General features: G+C 41.4%; 1 protein-coding gene across 5 annotated transcripts in view; it reads right to left on the bottom strand.

The window, feature by feature from the left end:
• Positions 1–3108: 3108 nt before the first annotated feature.
• Positions 3109–10453, bottom strand: part of GTF2H1 (general transcription factor IIH subunit 1) — a 44479-nt gene continuing 37134 nt past the window's right edge. For all 5 annotated transcript variants that reach the window (XM_024448457.2, XM_006718208.4, NM_001142307.2 and 2 more), the window contains 2 exons: positions 9447–9539; positions 3109–4371 (listed from right to left, as the gene is read on the bottom strand). In XM_024448457.2, the coding sequence (XP_024304225.1) occupies positions 4285–4371; positions 9447–9539 (180 nt within the window). In that variant the 3' untranslated portion in view covers positions 3109–4284. The remainder of the gene's footprint in view (positions 4372–9446; positions 9540–10453) is intronic.

Here is a 10453-nt window from a genome sequence, read left to right as displayed (position 1 = left end):
TACAGGTGCATTCCACCATGCCTAACTAAAAGGATTATCTTAAAGGGCATGTTCAGGTGCACAGGTATCTCTTTGTTAGAAAAATCTCAGGTTGCAGGTTAGAAAAGAATTTAAGGGCATAGACAAATGTCCAGAAGAAGATGCACTGACCATCACCTCAGGAAAGACTTGGAAGTAAGGGTACAGAGACACTTTCTATTTTATATACTTCAGCACTATTCAAAACTCAGGGAAAAAAAAACCCCACGAATTATGTTTTCACTATATGTATTGCACACACACACATATATATAGCATGCACACACACACACACACACATATGTAACTCCACCCAGGATGGAAAGAAAGTCAGTAGTGGCCACGAGATGACAAGATTTCCAGTCTCTTCTGTGACTTTAATATACACCCAAACAAGGAGATGGACTACTAACTCAGGCTGGTCACTCCTGAACCAGGTTCCAGGCAATACTCCAGTTCTGGACATTTTAATAGCTGAAAATAACTAAGACTCCCCTGGCCTCAAGAACTGGGAGAACAGCTGAGTCTTGAGGGAGCTAAATTGGGAAAGGGCAGAGGTAATCCTAAGGAATCCCATGCAAGTCTTGACACTGGAGACAGCAAACCTAAGTTTGAAACACACAGCTTTCCATTCCAGACACTGTCAGCTCTAGAAAGATGGTATATGCAACAGGAAATCACTTTCTGGATTAAACTCTTCAGACTCGATGAGTGGGGTTACCTTTCTAGTTACAGATGTTAAAACATTCTTTTGTTTTCCATCCTGAAGTGGATTTTACAAGGTACCTCACCCACTTTGTAGTATGTCTAAAGCAGACTAACACTACTGACTTTTTTTTTGAGATGGAGTTTCGCTCTTGTTGCCCAGGCTGGAGCAGAGTGGCTTGATCTCGGCTCGACACAGCCTCCACTTCCCAGGTTCAAGCGATTCTCCTGCCTCAGCCTCTTGAGTAGTTGGGATTACAGGTGCCTGCCACCACGCCTGACTAATTTTTTGTATTTTTAGTAGAGATGGGGTTTCGCCATGTTGGGTAGGCTGGTCTCGAATTCCTGACCTCAGGTGATCCACCCGCCTCGGCCTCCCAAAGTGCTGGGATTACAGGTGTGAGCCACTGCGCTAGGCCACTACTGACTTTCTTTCCAGAAAAGACTCATTCTCCTAAGGCAGGACATGCTGTTGTTACATTATTACATTTTATAGCCCTCAGGGCCTACTAGGCAGACTAATCCCATGATGCGATTTGCCACAAGTAAAGCACAGAATAGAGTCAGGCAGGAATGACAAAGGAGTCAAAGGAAAAACTAGGCAATGGAAGCCTGGGCTGCGGAATAACAACTTGCAACTTCACAGACATCTCATCCCTTCTCCAGACTAGAGAAGCCTTAGGGTAAATCCTAGCTCTGACACTTACTAGCTGTGTGAATTTGGGTAAATTACTTAACCTCTAAACCATTTCTAATCTGTACAAAATCTTGTAGTATCTACTTGCTTCTTCAGTTGTGGGAAGGGAGATACAGCAGAAAAAGTGTTTGGCACAATGCTGGTTTACAGCAGCCCTCAACCATCAGTGGTGCTATTATTTTCCGCAAGAAGGTGAAGGGCCATAAAAGGCCTATACAGCTGCTGAAGTTCATTGCTAAAGGTATCCAAGGCTCAAATATTTCAAGTGCAAGCTAGACATGAAATTCACAGCTATCTCTGTGAATCACCCTTGATTCCTTCACTCCCTGTGAGTTAGTCACATACACTGTAGAAATGCTGTTACTCAGGCCCTTCCTATTTACCAGGACTTCATTTTAATGTAGACGCTTTCCTGTGTGGTTTGTTCAGAAAGTCTTCTAAATCTGTCCTAATTGCCAAGTTATTTAACCCCTGCCTAACCCCCCACCACCAGAAAACCCCCCCATAAAAGCAACTTGCTTAAAACTTTCTCTCAAGTCTCCCATGCCTAGTAGGTAAGGTCTGAGTATTTTACTTTAGCATACAAGGCCATTCACAACCTGAATTAACATGGTTTTCTGAGCCTTACTTGTCACTTCCAACTCTCCAATCTAACACATCTTTCCTGTTCTTCTAACATATTTCAGTCTTTCAAACCTTCTCATCATCATGCTCTTCCCTCAGTCTAGAAGAGATGACTTTCTTCTCTACCTCACAAAATCCTACTCAACCTTCAAGACTTAGCTAAAACGCTCTTTTAAATGAAGTCTTTCCTTCAGGCTTTATATATATATATATATATATATATATATATTTTTTTTTTTTTTTTTTTTTTTTTTGAGACAGGGCTTTGTCTTACTGTCCAGGCTGTAGTGCAGTGGTGTGATCATAGCTCATTGCAGCCTCAATCTCCTGGGCTCATGCAATCCTCCCGCCTCGGCCTCCAGAGCAGCTGGAACTACAAGCACATACCACCACGCCCAGCTAACTTTTTTTACTTTTAGTAGAGATGAGGTTTTGCTATGTTGCCCAGGCTGGTCTTGAATTCCTGAGCTCAAGTGATCCTCTTGCCTTGGCCTCCCAAAGTGCTGGATTACAGGTATGACTCACCATGCCCAGCTTACAACTTAATTTTCAACACAGCACTCAACAGAACATTCTATTTCTTATGTCTGCCTTGCCCAATAGCCACTTTTTTTTATTTCAATCATTTTTCTATTTGCCCCACTGTAGCAGTAACACATTTGAAAGTACTTTGTGAAAGTGTAAATTTTAAGGGATTATACCAGTACATATACTGATCTGAAAGAGAAATGGGAAGACTGAAGGCAGAAAATGATGTGGCTTCTTTCCCTTTACCAGTTCAAGGTCTTCATAAATTTTTCTTTTTTTTTCTGTAAAAAAAGAGATGGAGTCTCACTATGTTGCTCAGTCTGGACTTTTGAACTTCTGGGCTCAAGTGATCCTCCTACCTCAGCCTCCCAAGTAGCTGGAACTACAGGCATGTGCTACCATGCCTGGCTTAGATTCTGACCTTAGCAGTCATTATATGAAGGATAACCAGTTTGTAACATGGCCTAAAATAAAATGAACAGTTCTCAGGCAGCCCACCCAAGGAAATTCACACATAATGAGAAACCAGAGATGTGTTAGAGTTAAAAGGGTAAGTATAAAAAGTTTTACTTTTTTTGTGTAATTTTTAATACAAGACATCTAAAGTCTTAAACATTAAGTTGATCCCATCAGGAACAAAATATGGCACGAAGTTCAGAAACAAGAACATCTTTTTTTTTTTTTTTTGCACTTAGGCTTTTCAGTCACTATGCAATGATTATCGATTCGCCAAGGACAGTAACAGTCAAATACTAGAGAAAAGGAGATAGGAGAAACATCTTTTATTTCTTCTAAAGAGGTGAAAATAAGATTTTTTTAATATTTCTCACTCATAAGATTTTTAAACTCTTAAAAATGCAATATCTTCTTTTCAAAGCACATGCCATCTTAAAAAAATCTTAGCAATGTACATTTGCACTCAAAGAAAAACATGCAGCGCCATTGTCTTCTGACAAAATTCTGCATTAAAAAACCCTATGCGACTTTCTGCAAATATATTCCCTCTTTATTATTCAGGGACTCCAAACCACAAACATTCAGTGCAATATTTATCGTTTCTTATTTCCGTAGGAAACACAGAACCAATGATGTCTTCTGACAACTGTTTCCTGATGGTTGAGCAACAGTCTCCCTTTGCTTTATTTTAAAGTACTTTTTTTAACTTGCTGATGTAAGGTATAATTGGAATTCATTAAAACTTGAGGATCCAATGGAGGGTGAAGAATGAAGGATGGAGGAGGAATACTTAAGGTCTACCCTGTGCCATAAACTTAGGAAAAAAATGTACACAGAAAAAAACGACAACCAAAAAACCTCAGATTTTATCAATGCACCCTTTAAAAAGTGTTTTTTTAATTTCTGAAAGCAGCTTAATGTGAATCAAAAGCAGTTCCTGAGCAACTGCAGTAAACAGTCTTTTAAAATATATATGTACATACACATGTACATATATGTGTGTGTGTGTATATATATATATTTGCAACTTAGCTCATTTGGTTCTGTCTTAATTTACCTCCCCAGCATTTAGTCCCTTCTTTCCTTTCAGTCTCCAATGTGCAAGTACAATAGCATCAGCTCTGGGAGTTGGCGTGGAGCAGATGTTTCTTATCACTCCTGTGAGGTCATCTGCTTGTCTGTCAGGCCAGGTTTCCAGAGTTGCTGCAGGTCATAGTTCTCTCAATCTCACAAAACCTGTAAGCATCATGGCCACCTCACGTTTTCTTCATCAGACGCCGTGACTGCCATGTGTGGAGCTTGTTGTAGGCTGTCTGGAGCATCTCTTCTATGTGACTTACCAACTGAAAAACACAGCAAGACACTTAACAACTGGGCAAAAGCAGGGGAAGTTAATCCTTCCAACCCAAATCTGGCACACACTTCAGAGTGTAGTTTCGGAGCTCCTCTGTATTTCCCCAGTCAATGAGGTAATGTGCAAGCCCTCTGAGAAGGTGCTGTCAGACACATTTTGTGTGGAAAGGAAAGACAGAAAGTAGGGGGCAGTGAAAAGGCTGCGGTTGTAATGGCTGTCCTGTCATTAACCAATAATAGGACAATATGAAAGTCACAATTGTGCTCCAGGCCTCAATTCCTTCTGTCAAACGAGGGGTCTGAACTATATCTGTGATTTTCTAGATTTGAATACTGGTCAGCCAACTAAGGCCAGGATGGTAGTATAAACTTTATTTTATTTTATTTTATTTTTTGAGACAGAGTCTTGCTCTGTCACCCAGGCTGGAGTGCTATGGTGTGATTTTGGCTCACTGCAGCCTCCACCTCACAGGTCCAAGCAGTTCTCATGTCTCAGACTCCCGAGTAGCTAGGATTACAACCATGAGCCACCACACCTGGCTAATTTTTGTATTTTTAGTAGAGATGGGATTTCACCATGTTGGCCAGGCTGGTCTTGAACTCCTGGCCTCAAGTGATTCACCCACCTCAGCCTCCCAAAGTGCTGGGATTACAGGCCTGAGCCACCATGCCCGGCCAGGTTTTTTTTTTTTTTCTTTTTTAAATAGTGGAGATGGACTCTTGCTATGCTGCCCAGGCTGGTCTCGAACTCCTGGGCTCAAGCAATCTTCCTGCCTCAGCCTCTCAAAGTGCTGGGATTACAGGCGTGAGCTGCTGTGCCCAGCCCCGTATATACATCTTGGCAGAACACTGGAAAAATGCCTTATTCTCCTGAAGATTCTGATTCAACAGGCCTGGGATGAGACCCAAGAATCTTTGATTTTCAAAAGCTCCTGCAGTTAATTCTGCATAATTTTGTGAAACAGTTTGCTATTTTTAGGGTTTTTCCAACTCCAGCATTTCAGGAGTTCAATACAACTCAGCAGATTACAGAAAACCTAAATGGTTTCAATGCTTCACACAATGTGCTATGTCATGTCTTGGGTCAGGACTATAGATCTTTGAGTAGATTAAGAATTTTGCCCTCATCATGGACATAGCTAGAAGTCAACAGGATCATATGGAATCTTTTTTATTTTTTTGAGACATGGTCTCACTACGTTGCCCAGGCTGGAGTGCAGTGGCTATTCACAGGTGCAATTTTAGTTTACTATAGTCTCAAACTCCTGATTTCAAGTGATCCTCCTGCCTCAGTCTCTTGAGTAGCTGGGACTACATGTGCATACCACCGCATCTGGCTTATACTGACTTTTGAGGTAGAAGTCTCTGGAATATGTTTCCTTGGAGGTGGACAGTGTTTATGTGTTTAGAAGTAAAGTTTTGCCAAGTCTGGGAGGATGGAGATGGAGATCAGGAAGTCCTAAATTCCTTTGGCATGTCAATGTTTAGGTCTGAGGGGTACAGAGTTAAAAAAATTACCCTTACTGCCATACCTGTTTATCATTATGGGGGATAGTAATATTTAGCTCTGTCTGGAAACTATAAAAATTACTTATTCTGTTTGATGGGCAGCAGTATCTATATTATCAATTGGAAGACATGAACACCATATCCTTCTGCAAGGCTATGCATGGCCTCAGCATCCTTTTCTTTTTTTTTTGAGATGGAGTTTCACTCTTGTTGCCTAGGCTAGATGCAATGGCACGATCTCAGCTCACTGCAATCTCCGCCTCCCAGGTTCAAGCAATTCTCCTGTCTCAACTTCCCGAGTAGCTGGGATTAGGGGCACTTGCCACAACGCCCGGCTAATTTTTTGTATTTTTAGTAGAGATGGGGTTTCACTGTGTTGGCCAGGCTGGTCTCGAACTCTTGACCTCAGGTGATCCACCCGCCTCAGCCTCCCAAAGTACTGGGATTACAGGTGTAAGCCACCGCGCCTGGCCCTCAGCATCCTTTCCAACACAGCACTCCAAGCAGTTATAATCAATTGAGAAGGCACATGACCTGAAACCTATCTGCCATCCTTGCCCTGCTGTGAGAAGACACTCCAAGCTTCTATCTGATTATAAGTAATGCTGTTTTGTATTTTAAGAAAACCCACTTAGAATATTTAGGAAATAAATATGAAAAATCTTGCTGATGATTTTTCAGCTTTCAATTGTAAAACTCCCCTTTTATTTATCCTACTTATTGAATACTGAATCTTAAATTTGTAACTAGAGTCATGTGCCACATAATGTGCATATATGATGGCGGTCCCATCAGATTATAATAGAGCTGAGAAATTCCCATCATCTAGTGATGTCGTAACATCATACAGCAGCACATTATTCACTCGTTTGTAGGGATGCTGGTGTAAACGAACCTATTAAGTAGCCAGCTGTATAAAAGTATAGCATGTACAATTATGTATAGGACCTAATACTTGATAATGATAATGAATATGTTACTGGTTTATCTATTTACTGTATTTTAAAATCATTATTTACGGTGTACTCCTACTTATATATATAAAAAAGTTAACTGTAAAATAGCCGTACGCAGGTCCTTCAGGAGGTATTCCAGAAGAAGGTATTGTTTCACAGGAGATGACAGCTCCATGTGCATTACTGCCCCTGAAGACTTTTCAGTGGGACAAGATGTGGAGGTGGAAGACAGTGATAGTGATGATCCTGACTCTGTGTAGGCCTAGGCTAATGTGTGTTTGTGTCTTAGTTTTTAACAAAAGTTTAAAAAGAAAAAAAAAATTAAAAATAGAAAAAAGGCACCAGGCGTGGTGGCTCACGCCTGTAATCCCAGCACTTTGTGAGGCCGAGGTGGGTGGATCACGAGGTCAGGAGTTCGAGACCAACCTGGCCGACACAGTGAAACCCGGTCTCTACTAAAAATACAAAAATTAGCTGGGCGTGGTGGTGGGTGCCTGTAATCCCAGCTACTCGGGAGGCTGAGGCGGGAGAATCGCTTGAACCCAGGAGGCAGAGGTTGCAATGAGCTGTGATCATGCCATTGCACTCCAGCCTGGGCGACAGAACTAGACTCCATCTCAAAAAAAAAAAAAAAAAAAAGAAAAAGAAAAAATATATATATCTATACGGAGAGAGGGAGAGAGAGAGAGAAAGAGAGAGAGAAAGGCTTATAGAATAAGAATACAAAGAAAATACTTTTGTACAGCTATACAATGGGTGTTTTAGGTTAAGTGTTATTCCAAAGAATGAAAAACTTTAAAAATATTTAAAAGTTTATAAGGTAAAAATGTTATAGTAAGCTAAGGCTAATTTATTATTGAAGAAAAAAAGCTATATTGTAAATTTAATGTAGTCTAAGTGTACAGTGTTAGTAAACTCTGCAGTAGTGTACAGTAATGTCCTAGGCCTTCACATTCACTCACTGAGTCACCCAGAGCAACTTCTAGTCCTGCAGTCCTGCAGGCTCTATTTATGGTAAATGCCCTTTACAGGTGGACCACTTTTTATCTTTTATACTGAATTTTTACTGCAACTTTTCTATGTTTAGATACACACATACCATTGTGTTAAAACTGTTTACAGTATTTAGTACAGTACTATGCTGTACAGGTTTGTAGCCTAGGAGCAACAGGCTACACCATATAGCCTAGAAGTATAGTAGGCTATATAGCTAGGTTTTAAGTACACTCTGTGAGGTTCATACAACAAAACTGTCTGTCAATGAATTGTTTAGAACACATCCCTGTGGTTAAGCAACACGTGACTGTACTATTCTTTCCAAGGTACCTCTGGGAGGGCTTGTATAACTGCACATACAAATGATCTGATGTGGTTGCTCTAACCTTGTTTTAAATACAATGCTAAAAATGCTGGGCATAAAGTGACACTTCTCAATACCTCATCCACTGACTTTCCCCACTGTAAACAATCAGGGAAGCTGATGCCAAATAGAACCCAGGAACAGTTTTGCTTACTATGAGTAGTGGCAATTCTATCTTTCCTTACGCTGCTAGGTTTGTGCTTGCTACTCAGTTTTTCCAAATTAATAAATTAGTAATATGTATTTTTCAGAACATACACATAGATTGTAAAACTTTTTGAGACAGAGTCTCACTGTGTCACCCAGGCTGGAGTGCGGTGGCATGACCTCGGCTCACCGCAACCCCTGTCTCCCAGGTTCAAGCAATTCTCCTGTCTCAGCCTCCCGAGTAGCTGGGACTACAGGCATGCGCCACCATGCCAGGCTAATTTTTGTATTTTTAGTAGAGACAGGGTTTCGCCATGTTGGCCAGAACTGGTCTCGGAACTCCTGACCTCAAGTGATCAGCCTGCCTTGGCCTCTCAATGTGCTGGGATTACAGGCATGAGCCACCGCACCCGGCCAGATTGTAAAACTTTTCTAAGGGAAAGCATGGAGATGGTTATCACAAATGCTTTGGTTAGTCATGACCTCTGGAGGGGAAGAGAGAGTGGTATGCAACTGGACAGGGGCACTCAGGGAATATCTATGGGTTATGGCAACATTCTACTAATTTTCCTGATTGGTGAGTAAACAGACAGTTATTTTATTATTTAAAAAATATGTATGTATTTTATATACTTCTGAATGCATGACACATTTCAATATTAAAAAACAGTACTTTGAGCAACAGAAAATAAAGTATTGGCCGGGTGCAGTGGCTCATGCCTGTAATCCTAGCACTTTGGGAGGCCAAGGTGGGCTGATTACCTGAGGTCGAGTTTGAGACCAGCCTGGCCAACATGGTGAAACCCCGTCTCTACTAAAATACAAAAATTAGCTGGGCGTGGCAGCATGCGCTTGTAATCTCAGCTACTCAGAAGGCTGAGGCAGGAGAATCGCTTGAACCCAGGAGGTAGAGGTTGCAGTGAGCTGAGATGGAGCCACTGTACTCCAGCCTGGGCGACAGAGTGAGACTCCGTTTCAAAAAAAAAAAAAAAAGAAAATTAAGTATCTACTCATTTACATGAAAGCAAAATCAATTTCATCATTTTACTACAAAGAGAAAGAAGATCAGGCAAAAATCAGATTGCTGCCTTACATTTGTGCTTAAATACTGTCTCCGAATCTTTTCTTGGAATGGACAGAGCTTCGTAACTTGGAATCGTTCCAAATTACTTTTCATTTTCACTACCTAAAAAAGATGAGAAACAATAAATTACAGAGAAATCTCAAGCTGTAGAGACCAACAGAAAAACAATCTTCTACATATGAAAGTTACTTTTCTTGTAGAATTTTTTTAAATGTAAAAATAAAATAAAAATATACCAATTATATCACATTGTTAACCCTTCAATGTGAATATCTTTCAGTCATAAATACTCATTTGGCCAGACGTGGTGGCTCACGCCTGTAATCCCAGCACTTTGGGAGGCCGAGGTGGGCGGAACACAAGGACAAGAGATTGAGACCATCCTGGCTAACATGGTGAAACCCCGTCTCCGCTAAAAATACAAAAATTAGCTGGGCGTGGTGGCACACGCCTGTAGTCCCAGCTACTCAGGAGGCTGAGGCAGGAAAATTGGTTGAACCCAGGAGGTGGAGGCTGCAGTGAACTGAGATCACACCACTGCACTCCAGCCTGCCGACAGAGTGAGACTCCATCTCAAAAAACAAAAACAACAAAAAATCCCAACTCATTTAAATAGTCACTCATTCATTTATTCATTCATTTAGAGACAGGGTCTCATTCTGTCACCCAGGCTGGAGTGCAGTGGCAACATCATGGCTCACTGCAGCTTTGACCTCTCTAGGCTCAGGTGATCACCTGAGCTACTTTTCATAATTTTTGTAGAGACGGAGTTCTGCCATGTTGCCCAAGTTGGTCTCAAACTCCTGAGCTCAAGCGATCTGCCTGCCTTGGCCTCCCAAAGTGCCCGGTTTAGTGGCTCATGCCTGTAGTCCCAGCTACTAGAGAGGCTGAGGTGGGAGAATCACCTCAGCCCAGAAGGTAGCGGCTGCAGTGAGCAGAGATCACTCCACTGCACTCCAGCCTGGGTGACAGCGTGAGACCCTGACTCAATAAATAAAATAAAATAAAATAATTAT

The sequence above is a fragment of the Homo sapiens genome, chromosome 11, assembly GCF_000001405.40.
Source record: "Homo sapiens chromosome 11, GRCh38.p14 Primary Assembly".
NCBI classification, from domain to species: Eukaryota; Metazoa; Chordata; class Mammalia; order Primates; family Hominidae; genus Homo; species Homo sapiens.
This window is presented reverse-complemented; position numbering and strand designations above follow the sequence as displayed.